Consider the following 21,601-nt stretch of genomic DNA (forward strand, 5'->3'; position numbering starts at 1 on the left):
TTTGTCACTTGTTCCATCTTCTCCTACCCTTTCAAAAAACTACAGCATTTCCTCAAAATGTGCCTTTGGTCCTGTACTCCTTCATCAAATTCATCTAAACTCTTGTTATTTGCCATCATTTTTGTGCAAATTAAGCTTCTCAAAATGTATTCTGGTTGGGGATGGGGAGGAGAGGCTGACCTATGTACTTTGGAAATGAGCAGAGTCCATGAAACTAAAGTGAAAAGAAAGTGTACATAAGCCCTGTGCTTCAGTGAGAAGGCGGTTTCACTGAGGTGTCGACTAACAATTCTAATACCACGAAAAATGTCTGCTGATGTTGGGCAATTAAGTAAATGAATAGCAATGGTGACAGCCAGATTTCTCCTGTTAGAGTGGGACTTTACAGATAAGCAAGGAGAGGAAGCTAGGATGACCCACGTGATCATGAATTAGAATTGGACACATCAGTATAAAGTCATGTTTACTTAATATAGACACAGATGGTTACATATAAAATATTTATAGATCTGTATGTGTACTTGGGTTAGTATACACACACATATTTCCTTGCTCTGTTATCTAGGAGGACTTAGAAGCAAGGCCATTCCAGTGGCAATGGCCACATCTAGTGCCCAGATAAAAAGGAACCAGGGATCCTCAGAGAAAGGACTGATTCTAAGCCCAGGGCAAGAAATATGCAAGATGATCCTGAAGCATCTTGCAGTGGCAGAAGGTAAGAAAGTGCTAAGAAACAAAACTGAGCAACTAAAGAAACAAACCAGCTCTACACACAATGATGAACGTTAACATCAATATGATCAGTCATATTGATAATATATACCCTTGATGTGATGAGAATGACATTTTACCTTTGTGGTCTTCCTTCCAAAGACACATAATCCCAGTCTAACCATGAGAAAAACTTCAGACAAATCCCAAAAGACTGACTTTCTACAAAATTCCTAACCAGTCCTCCTTAATTAGTCAATGTCATAAAAAAACAGTGAAAGTCTAAGAATCTCTAACAGTCAAAATGAGCCTAAGGGGACATGACAACTGATCGTAATGCAGTATCCTGCATGAGATCCTGGAACAGAAAAAGGACATTAAGTAAGAACTAAGGAAATCTGAATGAATTATGGACTTTAGTGAATAAGAACATATAATTATTGGCTCATCAATTTAAAAAAATGTACCATAGTTATGCAAGATGTTAATAATAGAACTGGGTGCAGGGTATATGGAAACCTTTCATAGTATCTTCACAATTTTCTGCAAATCTAAAACAATTTTTTAAAGTTTATTTTAAAATTTAAGTTTCCCATTCCAACTTCTTCCATGAGCACAGACCCACATTTTAAGTGCCTGCTGGACTGCTCCAGTGGAATGCTGGGTGGGTGTCTCAAATCAAGTACTTCAAAATTCAAACTCATCTTTTTGAGCATAACATTAAGTAGGCATCACGATTCCTTCTTTCCTTCCTTCCTTCCTTCCTTCCTCCCTCCCTCCCTCCCACTCACCCTTCCTCCCTCCCTCCCTCCCTGCCTTCTTTCTTTTTTTTTTTCTTTGACGGAGTCTCGCTCTGTCACCCAGGCTGGAGTGCAGTGGAGCGATCTCGGCTCACTGTAACCTCCACCTCCCGGGTTCAAGCGATTCTCCTGCCTCAGCCTCCCGAGTAGCTGGGACTACAGGCGTGCCACAACGCCCAGCTAATTTTTTGTACTTTAGTAGAGATGGGGTTGTTAGCTAGGATGGTCTCAAACTCCTGACCTCAGGTGATCTGCCCACCTCAGCCTCCCAAAGTGCTGGGATTACAGGCGTGAGCTACCACGCCTGGCGACGTCATGCTTTCTTGACCTTTGCTGTAGGCACCACACCATTGTTTTACGAGTCAATCAGTGTGGAAACTTGGCAATCATTGTTCAGTCCTTCCTTTAAGCCCATCAACATCAGAAATATGTATTCTATTTCAATAGTCACTTTTGGATTTATCCCCTCTTTTTGATTATCACAGTCCCCATTGGTATTCAAATACCCATAGATTTTTTTAAGTTATTTTTAAGGACTTCAAAAATGCTCCTTCTGTTACTTCCCCCAATATATCTCATTGTCTAATTAGTGCTACTAAACCATAATTCCTATCATGCATTCTTCTAAATAATAGAAAGTAGCTGCTCACTGCATGACATAGTCAGTTAAAATGTCTTAGCTTGGCATTTAAGGCCCGTTGTGATATTATGATATATCCTTCTCTCTCTTTTTCTTTTTCTTTTCTTTCTTTCTTTCTCTTTCTTTTTCTTTCTTTTTTCTTTCTTTTTCTTTCTTTTTTTCTTTCTCTTCTTTCTCTCTTTTTCTTTCTTCTTTCTCTCTCTTTTCCCTTCCTTCCTTCCTTCCTCTCTTTTCTTTTCTTTTTCCCCTCCCTTTTCTTCCCTTTTCTTTTCTTTTCTTTGTCTCGCTCTGTTGCCCAGGTTGGAGTACAATGGCGAGATCTCAGCTCACTGCAACCTCCGCCTCCCAGTTTCAAGCGATTCTCGTGCCTCAGCTTCTCGAGTAACTGGGATTATAGCGGCATGCTACCATGCCTGACTAATTTTTGTATTTTTATTAGAGACAGGGTTTCACCATGTTGTCCAGGCTGGTCTCGAACTCCTCCTGACCTCAGGTGATCTGCCCACCTTGGCCTTCCAAAGTTCTGGAATTACAGGAGTGAACCACCACGCCCAGCCCATCTTTCTTTTCTTATCTGTTTCCCTATTTCTCTACACAAGCATCTCAGGCTCACTCTTGCCACATTACACCAGGTGTCAGTGTCTCATGGACTATCGTACCTCCCCAGAGACTGTAAAAGTCCATCTGTGTGCCTCCTATCTGTCATGTATGTGTCATGCATTCTTGCTGCAGCATGAATAGGTAAACTCACCCTTTCTCTATTTCTGGCAAACCTCCTCATTGATTTTATACTCATACTTCTTCACTTATATTATCCTCTCCTCCTAATTCTGGCTTTCAAAATTTAACTCATCCTTTACCATCTACCTTGGAGATACAAGCAGTTTAGTAGAGTGGCTAAAAACATGGATGTTGGGTTAAGACTGCCCTAGGTTTAAACTCTGGTATTGCATTTTAACATTAGCAAACCTATTTTCTTTTTTCTTTTTTCTTTTTTTTTTTGAGACAGTGTCCTGTTCTGTCACCCAGGCTGGAGTGCAATGCTGCAATCTCGGCTCACTGCAACCTCCAACTCCCAGGTTCAAGCGATACTCTTGCCTCAGCCTCCCGAGTAGCTGGGATTACAGGCGACCACCACCACGCCTAGCTATTTTTTTTGTATTTTTAGTAGAGATGGGGTTTCGCCATGTTGGCCAGGCTGGTCTCAAACTCCTGACTTTAGGTGATCTGTCCGCCTCAGCGTCCCGAAGTGCTGGGATTACAGGCATGAGCCACCATGCCTGGCTAGCAAACCCATTTTCTAAGTTTCTAATTTCTCACTGGTGAAATGGGGATTTGGTTGGAATTATGTGAAACAAAATATTCATTGTAAGTTCTAAGAACATAACAAGTCTTTAAATTTTACTGTAAAATTTTTGTTCATAGGTTGTCTTTTTAGGAAATATGGCCTATGGTCTCCTCCCCTACCCTGCCCCATCAGTTGATTCTCCATGATCTTTTTGTTTGTGTCTTCTGCATACAACTTTTCAATTTCCCTTTGCACCATGGTCATTTTATCCTTGTACGACACTGAGCAATAACCCAACCTCTCTTATGTCTTTGTTTCCTTCTCTGCACAATGAGGATAATGATAGTGACTCTGTCAAAGGATTCCTTAAAGATTAAATGAGTTCATGTGTATGGAGCACTTAGAATGGCCTGTAATTAGTGCTAAATAAGTGTTTTCAGTTATTATATCATTATTATCATTTCATCTGCCAAGACAGCAGGCATTGAGACTTATTTATCTTTATATTTCCTGCAGTGACCAGAAAAAGACATGCTATGAATATAGTAAGTGTTCAATGAAGGCAAAGTGGAACGGAATCTGATGTAGCCTTTGTGAATGGACATAGTGCTTTTTGTCTCTGGGGAGGAAAATACAGATCAATAGAACCAATGACTGAGACCATGGACAATTACTGTGCAGAGAATGTGAGGAAGAATACACACTGAAGAAGGAGTGATGCAGAAAGAAGAGAATAAGGATAAAGTTACCAGGACCAAAAGTGCTGAGAATGAGTTGCATTAAATAATGCAGTTGTAATTGGTGCCTGATGAATAAATGAACAACACTAATGTAACTTCATGCATACTCATAGAAACATTCCCCCACAGAATAGGTTGTCAGATAACATTATGCAATATATATATGTATATATATGTGTATATGTATATATATGTATGTGTATAGATACATATATATGTATGTGTATATATGTGTGTGTGTATATACATATATGTGTATATATATGTATATATGTGTATATATGTGTATGTATGTGTGTGTATATATATATATTTAGATGGAGTCTCGCTCTCTCGCTCAGGCTGGAGTGCAGTGGTGCGATCTTGGCTCACTGCAAGCCCCGCCTCCCAGGTTCACGCCATTCTCCTGCCTCAGCCTCCTGAGTAGCTGAGACTACAGGCGCTGGCCACCACGCCTAATTTTTTTTGTATTTTTAGTAGAGACGGGGTTTCACCATGTTAGGCAGGATGGTCTCAAACTCCTGACCTTGTGATCTGCCCGCCTCAGCTGCCCAAAGTGCTGGGATTACAGGCGTGAGCCACCACGCCTGGCCAATATTATGCAATACATTAATGTGGAACATGGCAACGTTAGGGAAAGTCTCCCAAATTATAAGCCGAAGTAAAGTCTTCACATGAAGTATGACTTGATTTTATTTAATCATTTGGTTATTTTCATTTAACTTGGGTGATTAAATAACTCATATTTGAAGTACTGGTGTAAGCAATGCTGATGTGTTGTAGAAACCCTGCACAGTACCTGCATCCTTCCAAAAGTAAACATAAAATTAAATAGCTTGTCATCTATTAGTGATCATCTTTCTGTTGGGTAATACATGCTGTAATGGACAATCCAGAAGTGTTCTAATGGATCTTGAATTTTATTTCTTCTTGTTTTTATTATCTTCTATCTGTGACATTTGAACCAGGATAATAGCCTAAAACATAATTGCAATAGACCTTGTAAATTAGAAATGTGACACACATATTTCCATTTTTGGAAAAAGAATGAAAGTGTGTTTGAGTGGCTTTTTGTTTTATCTTTCAACAAGTTAGAATCTAGAAATCTGTATACCCTCCTGTATTTGTCATGTCTGGTAAGTCATTGGCATGTTCCAAATTCAGAGGAAGAACCTACATTTTCTCAAACCATTTAAGAAGAGGCAAGGTTATTATCTGAAAAATCCAAGCCAGATATGGAACCAGCTTCAGACTGCCCCGAAAGAGGTGACGTGAAGAGCCCCATTACTTTCATGGGCTTGACCTGATCCCTCATAAAACTTTCCTCTGTGATTTCTCAGTATAATATGAATCCTGTAGGCACCCTGAAAGGGAAATGAAACTCTTCCAGCTTGTATTTAAACTTGACCCCAAAGCATATATGTTTCCTGTTCTCATAAACCCAATGCCACCATAGTATTCATGACTCAAGATCAGGGCAGTGACAAAGCGTGATTTGTTACTGGTGATGACATCATTGTCATCACCGACAGCATCATGGACCGTCTTAGCATCTCCTTTGCAGGGGAGCACACCAGCCACTCCAGGGAACAGGTAGACATATGGGCCCTGTTAGTAGTTTGCCAAGGTCCTATGAGAGGCAGAATCTAAAATGATTTGGTTTTCCCGGAGCTGCTTTTGTGAGGTAGTGCCTTGAACAACCAGATAACAGGGCTATTAAAAGTCAGGTCATACTTGTAGGGCATCATGTTTCTCATTCAGCAGTTCTACCCCTGGACATGAGAGAGGTCTATGGGTTGGGTTTTGGATTTTGAGTTTATCTATAATACCTAATACCTAACTTCTTTTTTTTCTTTCCTCCCCCACTGGTTCTGTACAAAGTAAGTATAGAAGAAAAAGGGGTGGGCAGGTCTTGGAGAATTGCAGCAGCCGAAGGTAGCTCACTGCATTCTAGGGTCTCACCATTAGCTTCTGCCCCCACTGCCCCATTTCCAGAATACGGGGTTCCAGGTGAGGACATTGGGTGCTGGGCAGAAGACATTAGCCCCAAGAGGCAACATCACTTCATTTTAAAAGTTAGTCCGTCCACCTTCCCAGCAAGGGTGCTTACCACGGGCTCCCTCAGAGAAGATTTTGAAGTGAGGTGGTTAGCAATTTCCCTTTCTTCCTTCGTTCCTGGTGCATCCCATCGCCACCCCCACTCCCACTCCATCTCCTTGTGGCAGCCTGGGCCAAGTTTGTTGCTTGCAGCAGAAAGACTCAAACGTTTTCGTGATCCAACTGTTTTCAAACAGTCTCGGTTCCTGTGAGCCTTACCAGCTGTGACTAATAGCCAAGAGAAGGGAGAAAGAAGCTTCTCGGGCCTGCAGGCTTCAGACAGGCAGGCTCTGGGGGAAACAAGAGAAAGCCATTAACTAACCACGGTGTTATCTTGATTCTCTCAGAGAAAGGAGCCAGGGACGCCTAATGAACTAGCCTTAACGTTTCAAACTGAATGTGCCTCTGGGAGCTCTGCTAGAACAAACAGTGTGACAGATCAATGCTTGGTTCCTATATCAAGAGAAAAGGTTATTCGCTCCTCTAAGGAATTAGAGGATTAGTATATCTCTATGATATACTTTCTCTCCTTTTAAAATGTAACTTTTCTTAGCATGTGAAGGTATGAGTAGTGCAAAGTGGATGGGAGGGCGTGCCTATGTGTGGAAGCGTTTAAACATACTGGTTTTAAAGTTCATTACTACAGGAGGTACTGCTGTAAGATATAATAGCTTTTCTTTTTTTACACTTTCAATTTTTTTTTTGTTGTCCTTGCTCCATGCCAGGTAGACATTTCAAATAAAATCATACAGCCTTCAATTCCTGAGCCCCAGACTGAGACAGGGGTCAAGGTGCAGGCCTGCAAAGCTCACCTTTGCAGTTCAAAAATTCCCCTTGTGGCTACTAGCTGGAGATTTTCAAAAGGTGACCAGGTTTTCTAGCCTAATCCTCCAAACTGTTCATTTTCTGGGAAGCTTAACTGCATCAGTTATCATTTTGAAGAATTTCTTGATATGAAGCGATGTAAAATATAAAATTCTTACCTTGTCAGTCAGTAATGGCTGAGATTGGAGTGTGCTTTGTAAGTGTCCCTTGTGAGGGTGACTGTGGGGAATACCAATTGTATTCTTGTAGCAAACTGGTCTTAGGTTCCTAAATTTAAAAAGAAAGAAGAAAAAAAAAAAAAAAAAAGAAAGGAAAGAGAAAGTAGTTTGAATCAATGCCCCAGTTCAGGAAGCCTGATTTCAGGTCAGATTCACACATGAATTCTGCTTATCTTTTTTTAAAGTTAATTTTATTTTTAATTGACCAATAATAACTTTCATTTGAGGCCAGGTGCAATGGCTTAAGCCTGTAATCCTGGCACTTTGGGAGGCTGAGGCAGGTGGATCACCTGAGGTCAGGAGTTCAAGACGAGCCTGACCAATATGGTGAAACCCTCTCTCTACTAAAAATACAAAAATTAGCCAGGCACGGTGGTGCATGCCTATAATCCTAGTTACTTGGGAGGCTGAGGCAGGAGAATTACTTGAACCCAGGAAGCAGAGGTTGCAGTGAGCCGAGATTGCACCATTGCACTCCAGCCTGGGCAATAGAGTGGGACTCCATCTCAAAAAAACAAAAAACAAACCTTACATTTTAATTAGGTTGTAGAGACTTTGGGGGGTAATAATTTTTAGGGAGCAGGGTATCTTCTAATTGTAGTACTTTGGCAATTTGTCTTCAGTAAACAAATGTGAGAGCAGGTTCTTTCTCTTCCCTTTACCTCATTCTCTCTTAGATTCCCAAGTGCACTTTTAGAATCACAACCTAAGCTGAGTTCTCCAAATGTGAGAGGCAGTTACCTATGAGTACATACAGCAGCCCTCTTTCCTGCCTCTTATCCATTGACATACCCACCTATGTTGCAAAGCTAATTTCCGGAGAGTAGTATAATCTGCAGTCAATATTTCTGCGAAAGCTTACTACTTCAAAGCCTTAAAAAGTGCATACTTTGGTCCAGCAAGTACCATTCCAATAATTTTTCTGAGAAAATAATCAAGGATACATGCAGAACTTCACCTACAGGAATATTCATTGCAATAGTAATAATGTGAGAATATGCACTTCCAAACTGATTGTCGTATCCCTACCCATATTAGGAAATCATTGTCCTAAAAAGTTTCTTTTTCTTTTACTTAATACTATGTGTTTGCTAAAAAAAACCCAAAAAAACAGTTCTTTGTATAAAATTAAAAAGCGGGAAATTTAGGTAAATCTCACATGAATTATTATAGTGCATTAGACTGCTCAGTCTGCCATAACGAAATACTACAAATTGGGTGGTTTAATAACAAATGTATTTCTCATGGTTCTGGAGGATGGAAAGCCCATGACATAACATTCCATGGATATAATGTAACTCATATTTATGGATGTAATATTACAAAACATATTGCAAAATCTGAGCTGGCAAGGTAGGTTTCATTCTGATGTCTCTTCTCTGGACTTGTAGGTGGCCGCCATCTTTCTGTATGCTAAGATGATGTTTTTATGCATGCTGGATTGGGGGAGAGGGAGAAAGAGAGAAAGGGAGTGTGCTCTCTGGAACTCTCCGGTGTGTCTTCTAATAAGGGCACTAATTCTATTGGATCAGGGCCCCACTCTTATGACCTCATTTAACCTTACTTCCTTAGAGGCCCAATCTCCAAATATTGATACATTGGGGGTTAGGGTTTCAATATATAAGTCTTGCGGGGACACAAACATTCAATCCATAATATAGAGTTTTCTAGTTAGTGGAAGTTTGTACTCATAAAATATTCTTTACATAAAAATTTCAAAGACATTTCACTGAGTATCACATAAGATTGCATAGTTAGGCCATAGAAACTTTACACCAGTAGCCTGAAGAAAGTTCTTCTGTTGCTTCCACACACCATCAGTATGCCAGGGCTTTACCCTTAAATGGCTGAGCCACCAGAAACAAGGCCCATTGCCTTTCTGTATCTTCATTTCTCCATCTTTAAAGAGAGGGGATTAAACCAGATGTGTTCTTACATTTCTTTAAGCTCTAATTTTCATGCTTCTGTGACTATTTTTTGTAGTTGAATGTTCTCACACCCATGATACCACTGTCGGAAATGACAATGTTATAAATAACATATTTTACAAAATTTATAGTTATAAAAATTGCATACAAAATAATTTATGCATGTGTTCTTATTTTCTCACCAGGTTCATTTATACAAATCATTCTGGATTGTTGTTAGCTTTCAACAGAATAAAATATATACAATTTTTTATAGTTTGACCCTTGAGGTTAGAAGCCCAAGGAATGAAATATAACTGAAATTTAAAGGAGAAATTGAATCCATATTTATAATTTCAGCAAAAACAGGAATAAGGAGGAACATTCCAGGGATATAATGTAACTCATATTTATGGATGTAATATTATAAAACATATTTCAAAATCTGAGTTTTATCAATACTCTTTATATAATATTTATTACCTAGTAATTTCCTCCATATACACCATAAAACACTGATAGTTTTGTCTGATGAGATCCAAGTACCAATTATATAAACAAGTTGATAAGGACATAAAAGTAAAAGAAAAGAAAAGTATAAATAGCAGATTTTACTTCAACCGGCTTTGAAAAATCTCAAAAGTTAAAGGTTATCAACTTTGGTTTGACTTTTGGGTTCTTTTTTAGTCAACAGATTTATAAAAGAACAAACCACTGCCGAGTACATTGAGGGAGATGAAACAATCAGCCTCAGAAGGGGAGCGATGCAGTAGGGGGTGAAATCATCCCTGGAGTGGAATCTAGAAAACGTTCCAAGAATCTCAGAGACCAAAGTTTCCATTCAAGTGTTTAGCGTTTTAATACATAATTACTATGAAAGACACTCATTAAACAATTTCCATTAATATTCTCCACTGAGCATAGATGGCTCAACTCTGCAAAGCTTTCTGGGTCTGTCTTTTCATGTACTATTTTTAAATGTTTTATAAGTCTTTTTACATTCTATTTCTCACTGCATCCCAACATTGACTGGAATGCAATCAAACTCCAGTCACAGCATACTCCATGCTACAGTCCATGCACTTTTAAGCTACACTAGAGTAAATCGGATCTGAAGAGAGTAAGAATCCAAAATCAATGAAGACAAACACACAACACTTCTATAATGGCAAAATACATTAATTTTAAGGATGAGGACACATCTAGAAATAATGCTCTCAAGATAAAGCTATGTCCAAAAGAAGTTTAATGTGGACAACTATCTACAGAAATGAGGCTGAGTTGATAACCAGTTTGGACAGGCCCAAGCAGAAGCAGACAATTTATACTTTATCCTATTATGCTATTTACACAACTCCCATTTTACACATAATTGCCAGTTATCCTCTCGATTTAATAGTTGACAAAACTGGCTGTACATTTCATGATGCTCCAGTAAAGTGGAGATTGGGAGAAAGACTGAGGCTTTGCAGTCATACAGATGTGGGCTTAAGTAATCCCATTTTGTAGCAGCTATAGGGTTAGGAGAGTGACTTCTGCCAACTCCTCCAGCCCTGGTTCTTCTTGTTTTACAGGTCTCAATTTAAATTCTCCAACCTCCTTGAAACCTCCAATATCACCCAACCTTAAAAAACTTCTAATCTCTCTTCATGATATCATTCTATTTTATTTTTATCTTTGACAGTTATTACTAGCTGCTTTTTTTTTTTTTTTTTTTTTTTGGTGCCAGGGTGCTCACTCTGTTGTTCAGGATGGAGGGCAGTGGCACCATCTCGGCTCACTGCAACCTCCGCCTTCCGGGTTCAAGCAATTCTCTTGCCTCAGTCTCCGGAGTAGCTGGGATTACAGGCACACGCCACCACGCCCAGATACTTTTTGTATTTTTAGTAGGGATGGGGTTTTGCCATGTTGGTCAGGCTGGTCTCCAACTCCTTACCTTTGGTGATCTGCCTGCCTTGGCCTCCCAAAGTGCTGGGATTACAGGTGTGAGCCACTGAGCCTGGCCACTAGCTACTATTTTAATTTGTTTATTTTTTGCCTTTTCCCCACTGAAATCTAAACATTATGAAAGCAAGACCCTTTTCTGCCTTGTGTACCTCAAGTCCCAATGCCCAGAATACTACCTGGTACCCAGTAGGCTCTCAGTACCTGTTTGTTACAGGAATACTAAATGAGTGAGCGAATGAATCACCTTTTGTTGCCTCATCTCTCACTTGGGGATGGCATTACCTACTTCAGAACTTTTCATAGCACACACTAGGAAAGTCCAATTTTAAATGATTTATCTAAGAAATGTCCAGGCAATACATTCATTCTTTTCCCTACCAGCTCCCAGTGTTTACTTTCGATTGCATTTAATGAGAGAAATAAAAATCTTCTTGAGTTGAACTTTTGGCATGTTCACTTTTCCTTAATGTGAAAGGCTAAATACATCCCCAGGAAATAGATATGCCTGGCTCTCCTTTGATTCCCAACAACCCTCCACCCACCTTCTGCCCAGGAAACAATTGTTTGGATTCTGTGATTTTTATTTTCTCCAATGTGTGTCTACTTGTCTTGGTGGTTTTGCTTCCAAGAGAGAAATACCTCTTAAGTTTGTGTGTATGTGTGTTGTTTTTCTTTGTCTTTCCTCTTTTTTTTTTTCTAAGAGAAGATAATCAGGTTCTCATGTTACTACTAAGTGTTCTAGTAGATGGAAAAAGGTTGCCACATGAGGTCATTGCTGTGTGGATGAACTTGTAGACACTGACATATCAGAGAGCATCTAAAGGAAATATTATAGGGGCCATCAAGGCCGTTTCAAATTTCCTGATTGCATATATTAAAACAGGATAAGCTCCAATTACTGGAGTACTTGCTTCAATATAATGGAGAATCGGAGCTGCATGTGGATTCTGATCTCTCTAAGCAGCCAAGTGTATCCAAAAATATAAAAATAAAGTTAAATATCTATAGTTGGAAGATCAGGAGCACTAATAAGCCAGGGCATATCATTTGGGGCAGGAAAAAAGGGTTACAAGAGTTCAGTTTAGGTTTGTGGCTTTTCACCAAATGCGGTGTGAGCTTGAAATACATAGCTTCGTATTTCTTTTTCCTGGTGATAAGTCAGATAAGACATGGAAACTTAGCCTGAATGGTTTTAAACCTTTCCCTCTGTGACCATAAAGTGACCATTTACAAATTGAAATGCGTTACTGACCTGAGATCCAGTTGCTTCTGGACCTGTAAATACAAGTAGGACTTCCATCTAAAACGACAGCAGACTCGTGCATAAAGTTTCCCACTGTCTGTATGAGAGGAGCTGTGCCCGAAGACAGCTGCTTAGAACAGCTGTCTACTTACACAGCCATCTTAGGGGAGAATGATTAATGAATTCACTTGGGCAGCGAGGAGCCCAGTTCACTGATCCATAGTTGCAGCACAGGTATTGATGTGAAACTAATGAGAAATTTGATACTCAAATTTGAATGTTTATTCCAATTACCGAACAACAGATCCAAATTTTTTTTAAAGCTTAAAGCATTAACCTTTTGTTAAGAATGGGGCAATGTTGAGCTGCGGTTTTACGCTGTGTGCTAGAACTTGCAGACTGAAGTGATTGGGGTCTGCTTTGACAAATGGTACTCCTCACACATACACAGCTTTCTTTAAATTTCATGTTAAGTTTTGAGCCAAGGAGGGGAAGGAGAGAGAAAAGTACCTGTCATGAGCCTGTCATATCAGTAGCCACTTAGCACTAAACACACGGAAGCAATGAGGAGTCCTTCTCAACCCAAATTAATATAGCCCTAGTCTGAAAAGGTCTCATTATGGACTCCAGAACAAGCTACTGGGATTTTAGGTTTTCTCTATGCTTAGAAGATACCTAAATTATTATGCACAGTCTTGACTTTCACCCTTTAAGTGAAATTATTACCCAACTAGACTTTACCCCTGAGAAAGGCAAATACGGTAAAGACTGGAAAAAATACCTTAAAATAAGAGATTTGCTTAAAAGAATGAAGTTACTGCTAGTGGGAGAAGAGAAGACTGTGTGTGAGTTGCATGAAATACAGTGCAGACCTACCATATGCTTATGCGGAATAGCAACTGCCACTCTCTGTTGGGCATCCATAGCAGATATTTCTAATCAAATCAAACACTCTTTTACACCAGCCAGGGCAGGACTGATATCTCAGCCTTCAATGTGGAGATCTGGACAGCACTACCAACCAAACAGAATCAACGGAAGGGGCTAAATCTGCTTGCCACTCCAGACTGGGAGGAATCAGGAGCCTTGCACTCACACTTCTGTCTCCCCACTTCATCTCAATTCTTGAGGTCTCTGCATACCTATCCATTGCAGGCAGCGCTTCCACGACCACTCGAGATAACCTCACAGCTCCCCTCCTCATCCCACATACTGTAGCAATCCCCCGTTCCTGAGTTTTCTCCACCAACATATTACGTGTTTACTTATAATTGCTGGCTTATTTTCTTCCTCTGTACTGTCTCCAGAATGTGAGTTCTAGGAGGGACATAACTTTGTTTGCTGTTATATCCCCAGTGACTAGATGGGTGTCTAACTCATAGTGGATGCCCAATAGATGGCTGAATTAATAAAGGAATGATTTAATCATAATAGTAGTAGGGCTGTCCTGTGAGAAAATAATTGGATCTACTCTATGCAACCCGTTAGTATAGAAATTGCTCAGGTAGCTAAAGTTTTGGAAGGGTAATTAGGGCAGGCTACAAGGAAGAATTTCATATTAGAGCTATTAGGCAAGGTCATGGGCTGCTTCTTGGGGTGGGGAGTTCTTTGATAGCAAAGGTCCCAGAGTCCTTGAGCCTCTCTATCAGGAGAACAATATAGGGGATTCATTAATCATACGGAAAGTAGACTGGACCACCTCTGAGACTGCTTCCAAATGTTATGTAACGTACCTGCTCCTTCAGAGGTTGAATGCCATGGTTAAAGATGTATGTTGTTTCATTAAAGCCATTGAGCACTGCCCACAGGCTTAAAGACAGTTGTCGTAAGACTCAAGTCACTGTCTCTTCCTGGGATAATGCTAAGAATATTCTTATTATCATTTGTGCTAGGACTTACTGATGGACATGTAAGTGTAATTTTGGTATACTATTCTTGCTACAGAATGATTGAGGTTATCGCAGTATGTCAGCTATATCCTCAAAGCACGGATCCTTTCAAAGCTGGGGGAAATATTTCAGATTATTAGAATGTCATTTAGGAAATCACAACTTTATTGCTTAAAATGGAATAATGATGTGCAGAAAGAGTTAAATATTCTTCCAAAGGAACCTGACTCTAAGCCAGGATATGGCATTAAGCACAGAGAAAATTGGGCTGAATAATCCCTTTAGACTCTTTAAGGTGCTGAGCTGACATTTTGATATGCTGCAAGTTGGCAAGTCAACGTTTCATAGTTTATCTTCAAATTCCACATTTTAAAAGTCTTATTTCCCTCTTCCAAAAAGACTATACCTGCAACCACCTTAAGCCATATCTACACAAAATTGGATATCTTTTTTTGTTAGTTCAATAAAGCGAGAATTTAATGTCCCAAATTTTGTGAAAAAAGGAAGCTCATTTCTACTTAAAACTCATCTTGTCAATTTCATAATCCTACAGAATTTTGTAAGGACAATAAATTAAAAAATGATAAGGTGTAAAGTGTTACAGAGTTAGTGCTATTGAAAATAAAAATATAATATATGGTTGAAGTGTGAATTTTTACATCAATTGGGGCTATTTTGTGAGGTTTGATTATAGATGTCAAAATACAATTCTTTTTCTATTCTTAATCAGACAGACGACTGAGAATGTTTCCCTGCTGGGATTTCCAAATTTAATTGAAAGAGAGATTTCAAATCTAACTAGTGTGTTGCGATAGCTAACAAAAGAAGTCAGTGCAGGGTTGGAAAGGAGAAAATGAGTGTGGAAATTATTATATAGATATATCTGATAGTCATAATTGAGAAGCAGTCAAATGAGGGTTAAAAGTCAAATGCACATTAATTTTCTTCCTTTACCATGTAAACATCCTGTTCTCCAGAAAGCATTCCCTATTCCTCAGCCTAGGTTTGCTTTTCTGGTATGCTCCATTGGTGTCCATCATTTTTTCCTTCATGTGGCTCAACACAGGGAGAATGACCTTTCTCATGTCACCATCCTTCCTAGGATGTGAGCTCCATGAGGGCTCAGCTGTGTCCATCATGTTTAAGTATATCCAGGGACTGAAATAAAGTCACAGCTCAGTAAATATTTGCTGAATGAAGGCATGATGCTTGAACCTGCTTTACGGTATTCCCATCGCAACGATTCTCCAGTCTAAGCTCAATCACCCCCCACACTTTCATCACAGCAAGTCTCTAATTTCTTCCAACCCAGAGCCTCTCAGTAGATGCAGAAATGGAATGTAACCACAGTGCTCAGCAACACACCTAGCATCTGAAACATCTTCCAAGCATTCCAAGAGCTGCTTGATAGTGTCAGATGTTTATCAATCATTGGCTTATGAGCAAGACTGCTTGTGAGGGAACATAATTGCTGCTCTTTTGCAAACAGGAAATGTTTAGGTCCGAGGGGCTCTAGTTTCACAAACTTGCTGGGGACACCCACTCATTGTGATGATTTTGCTGACTCGGCTTGTCAAGTAAGCTGTAAGCAGCCAAGGAGGCAAAATACAGCAAAAGACCATAGCCCTGTGCATATATACCAGACAGAATCCTCTGCCTGATCCCGATAGCAAGAATGGCATTTTCTAGCCTTTTTTTTCTTTTTTTTTTGAGATGGAGTGTTGCTCTTGTTGCCCAGGCTGGATTGCAATGGCACGATCTCAGCTCACTGCAACCTCTGCCTCCTGGGTTCAAGCAATTCTCCTGCCTCAGCCTTCCAAGTAACTGGGATTACAGGCATGTGCCACCACGCCTGGCTAATTTTTTATTTTTAGTAGAGATGGGGTTTCACCATGTTGGTCAGTCTGGTCTCGAACTCCTGACCTCAGGTGATCCACCCACCTCAGTCTTGCAAAGTGCTGGGATCACAGGCGTGAGCCACTGCGCCTGGCCATTTTTGAGCATTTTTTTGTATTCATCTTTTCATGTATCAATACTGGTGGAAGGACATCAGCCTAGAGAGAAGAGCTTATCTGGAAAATTGTATATTATATACAAAAGTGTAAATCCCGCTATTTTCACTCTATTCCTTCAAAACAATGGATACAATTAAAATAGAAATTTCCAACTCTACAGTGTCACTGATATTCTCAGTGTCTTATAAGTTATTTACTAGTGAAGATGTGATTTCTCCTATTTCTGTTTCCTATTTTTCTTCTGCCTAATGTGTGTATGTGTGTAGCGTTCCTAGATTTGAATGGCCTCCTTTGCCTTTGTAGCATACACACACACACACACACACACACACACACACGCACACATACACATACGCATACACATACTCTTGAAATAAAGTGCCTGATCCCTGCTTTGGTTTTCGCCCCTCTGGTGGGTCAGGGGTCTCTCTCTGAGGAGTTTCCCTGTGCACCAGCAGTCATGCGGAACCTGCTTGCTGGCATGCCGCCCGCACACTTGAAAGGGAGTGCCATAGAGATGGGCTGACCTTCCTGGCCTTGCAACCGAAAGGGAACCCTGTGGGGAGTACCTGGAGGGGGTGTTTCTCCTGTTGGTCACATGAAGGTTGTTCACTTCAGTGGCTCTGTTTTAACTGTGCCCTTGTATTCTTTACTGACCGTTGGAGAAGCCGATTGTTTTCTTGCCCCAGCTTCAGAGGCACTAAACCCTTCACCTTGACTTCTCTTAGAACAGCAAAGCTAGGGAAGGAAGAAAAAAGGAGGGCTGAAAGATATAACAAAGGACCTTGATGCTCTTATCACATGGGTAATTATTGTGCTCACATACATGGGATGTCAGGGAGGCAGCGTGTTTGCTGCACGAGGGGGCTTCTATTTACAACATGTTTGGCACTTTTTTTATGTGTAGGGAGTTTGTAAGTTGTGCATTTCTACCTTTGTAGATTGTGAAACTTGGTCATGAAACATGTGAGTTTTGAAAATCGTGTCCTCCTGAAAAGAAGACAATGAAAACGACTTTTCAATATGGATAAATTTCAGAAAATCGATTGTCTTAATGCCTTTTCCATGGTAGTATACAAGAGGTGTAGGACTAATGGTGTGCTTCCAATAGAGCTAAGTGCTAATGCTTTTAATAAACTTCCTTTTCCTCATGGCAGATGCATATTTAGTATATATTTTTATTTGGCTTTACAAATTCTATCGCAGCTTCAAAGATACCTCCTAGAAACTTTAAAAGATTAAGTATTTACCTTGGACAAAGCATTCAATCCTTGCATCTCACGTTGGATAATTATAGGCCACATTTCCTTTCAGTGTTTCCGAGAGCTGAGTTAAATTTTGAAGGAGAAGTGTTCTATTTGAGCTGCGTGAACAAAGCCAAGTTTGTGTACTACAGGGCAAGCCCAAGGGGGTTTTGCTAAGACAGATGAAATGATTGTGGTGAAATCAAACTACCTCTGCAGCTCCTTGGTCCAGTTTATCCACTCTCCTGGGGGTTCTCCTTTGCCTGAGAAAAAGTCCAGCAGTGGCCAAGCAGAGGTGGATCAAATGAAGCAGAGATGAATGTCTACACCCACCCTGGGGGCCTCAGGTGGGAGGAAAAAGACAGAGCCGAAGGAGCACTTGGAAAATTGTGAGATGTTATTGTTGTTATGATTCTGATCTTTAACTGCCGAAGATATGCAGGTGGCTTTGCTCTCGTTCCCTTCACTGTTGGAGAAAGTAATCAGACAGGTGGAACTAGTAACGTGTCTACCTTTAATTTTTGAACTGATCCAAATGTAACAAAATTACAAAATCCAGTTTTGTCTAAACAGTCTAGCAGAAGTAGTTGCTTACACAATACACTCAATTCAGAAATTGATGAAACTGTTACCTCATAGCTACGATGAACTGATGCTTTAGAAAGACAAAACACCCAGGACACCAGGTCTTTTTTGTGTATGTGACTTGTAAAATCCCTGGTACCAGGGTTGTAGGGATGTACCCCATTTTACACACAACGTATATCAGAGTGAAAGTGTTGTCCTTCACAGGGTGAGGATTTACAGGACCATGGCAGAATTATTGGGCTTTGTTTCCCAAAGGAGTAATGATCTTGGAGCCATCTTTCTTAGCAAATGGAATATTCTTAACGTGATGAAAATCAAGTTGCTGTACCCTAAAATCTCATTGCAAATGAATTTTCGTATTTGGATCTGCTTACACACTCAGTATAACCAGATCCAAATATAAACAGCCTAGTTCCCTAACTTCTCAGTAACATCTGGCTAATTTTAACTTGTGGCTAGAGGTTGAAACCATGTGAAATCCTGTGGTTACAGTAATTTCCACCAGGAAACCATGAGCAGCTGAGTGGCATGTCAGTGAAGAATTTTCAGGACAGTGTATTTTTATTTCCAAGTTTGAACTTGAGGTTTGGTAACAAACACAGACTCACTGGCAAATGAGTTCTACACACAGCTCTGGAAGCAGAAATGTTGAAAGTTTTCCTTTCTCTGAAAAATGTTCTCTTTTATTAATAGAATTTTAGTAGCTGGAAGAGAGTCTTTCTGAGACGAAGCAGACAGTAGATGATAAAGGATTCCTCATTGCCTTCCAAACAATACCCTGATTGTTAAGACGTGCCAGGTGTTGTGTGTGTGTGTGTGTGTGTGTGTGTGTGTGTGTGTGTGTGTGTATGTTGTTGTTTTTTTTGCTTTGTATTTTAGTAGAGACGTGGTTTTGCCATGTTGCCCAGACTGGTCTCGAACTCCTGACCTCAAGTGATCCATCCGCCTTGGCCTCCCAAAGTGCCGGGATTACCAAGTGTAAGCCACTGCGCCTGGCCAGAGATGCCATTTTCTGAGTAGGTTTATTTATCGCCTTGAATCCAGACCATGATCTGTGAAATTGGCAGTATTATTCCCATTGAAAACATGAAGTAAATCAGGCTGTGAGTGGTTTCAAACAAACAAAACTTCAGAAACTCCCATCTTTCTTCCTTGACATAAAACAGCTTCACACATGGAACTCCCACTGTGCCTTGCCCTCCTTTCCACCCAGGCCATTGTTTTACCTGTTTCAGAATTGGGAGACACGTGTGATTTAGGTGGGGAAGAAAGCACACGGTCAGCTTGTCCTGGGCCCGGCTTAAGTATATTCTAATCATCACCCACACAGCATTAGCTCTGATGTTGACTGTGTGGCAAACGGGGCTTCTTTGCAACAGTTTGTTCTCAAGGTTGGTGGCCTCCAGTTAGGGCTTATCTTTAAGTTACTTCTTGGGAACGGGGCCAGATCAATACTGTATTCTTTCAGACCTCTCTAAACCCAGCGGGGAAGGCAATCACCGTAGTGCAGCTCCCTGCACCTTCTGGAGCAGATCAATATTCCGACAGCGCGAAGCTTTGTTCCTTCCCCAGCTTTAAGATGTCCTGCATGCTCTACATGATTGCTTAAAGGCGTGCTTTCCTTTCCCCGGTATGACAACACCGCTCCCGACCTGATCTTCCTAATACCATCACTGTAATTGCCTTGACATGAAATAGCAGCACCAACTCAGCGCGCGGGCTTTGAGGTGTTTTATCTTTTTTGAACATCTCTATTAGCAAAGGGTGTTGATTTGGCTTTAATATGTAGCCGGAGCTTTAAGGCGAACCTGCACTTATTTACACTGGTTTGCGAAACCCACCGAGATGATTTTACCCATGGGAATCATATAGGGGACTGTTTCAGGGGAGAGGAAGATATAAACTCCTAAGCCCAAGCATATTAGCTTAAACTTTATGCTGCTTGAAGCCCATTATATCTACCCCATACTGCCACAGCAATTGTCTTAGAAGGGCTCTGTGCCTTATTTACTTTTTAAGTGATGCTGGGTAAAATGAAGTATTTATTTTACTGTTTTCAGCCAACATTCCATTAAGCAGTAAATAACACCAAGGCTCAGCAATCTCATTTTTCCAATTTTTATTTTTTTGTTGTTGTTGTTGCCTGCTAAGCAAACTCATTGATATAGTCTGAATCCTTACCATACATGACTTTCCTCCTTTTCCCTCCTACTTTCTGCAGCTCTTCCAAATAAAGCCAACTGAAATGCATTTTAAAAGATGTCGTTACATGACAGCATTAACAACAGAAAAGTTTAGATGGAAACCCACTACTTTGCCTAAAGAAGGAAAGCCAAGTACTTCAGTCTGCATTCAGTTTGCTTTAAACACATCCGTTTAGGTGGCTCACGCCTGTCATCCCAGCACTTCGGGAGGCAGAGGCACGCAGATCACCTGAGGTCAGGAGTTCGAGACCAGCCTGGCCAACATGGTGAACCCCATCTCTACTAAAAATACAAAAATTAGCCGGGCATGGTGGCGGGTGCCTGTAATCCCAGCTATTCAGGAGGCTGAGGCAGGAGAATTGCTTGAACCCGGGAGGTAGGAGGAGGCTGCAGTGAGCCGAGATCATGCCGCACTCCAGCCTGGGTGACAGAGTGAGACTCCATCTCAAAAAAAAAAAAAGACTCCTCCTAGGACTTCATCTTATAATCTATATGTGCTGCACTTAGTCCTAAATTCCACTATGCTCTGCTGTAGCCTTGAGACTCTCCCCATATTGTTCGCTTGTCCTAACCCCAGACACACAGAACTCTCAGTCTTTCTTTGTTCCTCTATCCTCTCACCCTTCAAGGTCTGGTATCAATCTCAGCCCCTTTGGAAACCTTTGGAAACTGGTCCAATCCAATGAGTCACAACAAAGCACTGCAGTACAATTGCTTGGATTATAATCAGTGTGATCATATAAACATTTGCTGCCAAAAACAGCTGAACTTCCAAAATTTGCCAATGATTTGCTTTTCTAAAATGATAATTGGGGTGGACTCAAGGTTATCCTTAATCATCTTATTCTCTCACTGGCATGCTGATATATTTTTAAGAATGATAGGAAAGGGTGGGGCTGCACAACCTTAATTGCACCTTTCTTGAAGCCTGTCTTATGGAACTCAGAGGTCACTGATGACTAACTGCTGCGTGGTGTTAGGTATTCGAGGTATGTCATCATGTCCCCAAATATATCATTTTGATGTACTGGGTCATCCACAGACTCAATACAATACTTTATGCATATCATTAGGAACAGAAAAAAAATACTTGTTAAAATGTTGGCTGGTAGAAGTTATCCTTTCATAGAAACCATGTGTATCAGTGGATGCTACATGCACCATTACTATGAAAAAATCCACAGCAGAGGGAAATAATTCAGAACGACTCGTGTGTTGCAAACTAATTAGATGAATTGTCACTTC

General features: G+C 40.4%; 1 long non-coding RNA gene across 8 annotated transcripts in view; it reads right to left on the bottom strand.

Annotated features, from left to right (window-relative positions):
• Positions 1 to 4,854: 4,854 nt before the first annotated feature.
• Positions 4,855 to 21,601, bottom strand: part of LOC105371004 (uncharacterized) — a 31,628-nt gene continuing 14,881 nt past the window's right edge. For 5 of the 8 annotated variants that reach the window (XR_001751692.2, XR_001751691.2, XR_932677.2 and 2 more), the window contains 6 exons: positions 17,776 to 18,030; positions 17,571 to 17,683; positions 16,890 to 17,058; positions 7,260 to 7,368; positions 6,290 to 6,566; positions 4,855 to 5,156 (listed from right to left, as the gene is read on the bottom strand). This is a non-coding gene — a long non-coding RNA (uncharacterized LOC105371004). The remainder of the gene's footprint in view (positions 5,157 to 6,289; positions 6,567 to 7,259; positions 7,369 to 16,889; positions 17,059 to 17,570; positions 17,684 to 17,775; positions 18,031 to 21,601) is intronic. The other 3 variants (XR_932683.2, XR_932680.2, XR_932678.2) reach the window with 2 other exon arrangements.

This window comes from Homo sapiens, chromosome 15 (assembly GCF_000001405.40).
Source record: "Homo sapiens chromosome 15, GRCh38.p14 Primary Assembly".
NCBI lineage: Eukaryota > Metazoa > Chordata > Mammalia > Primates > Hominidae > Homo > Homo sapiens.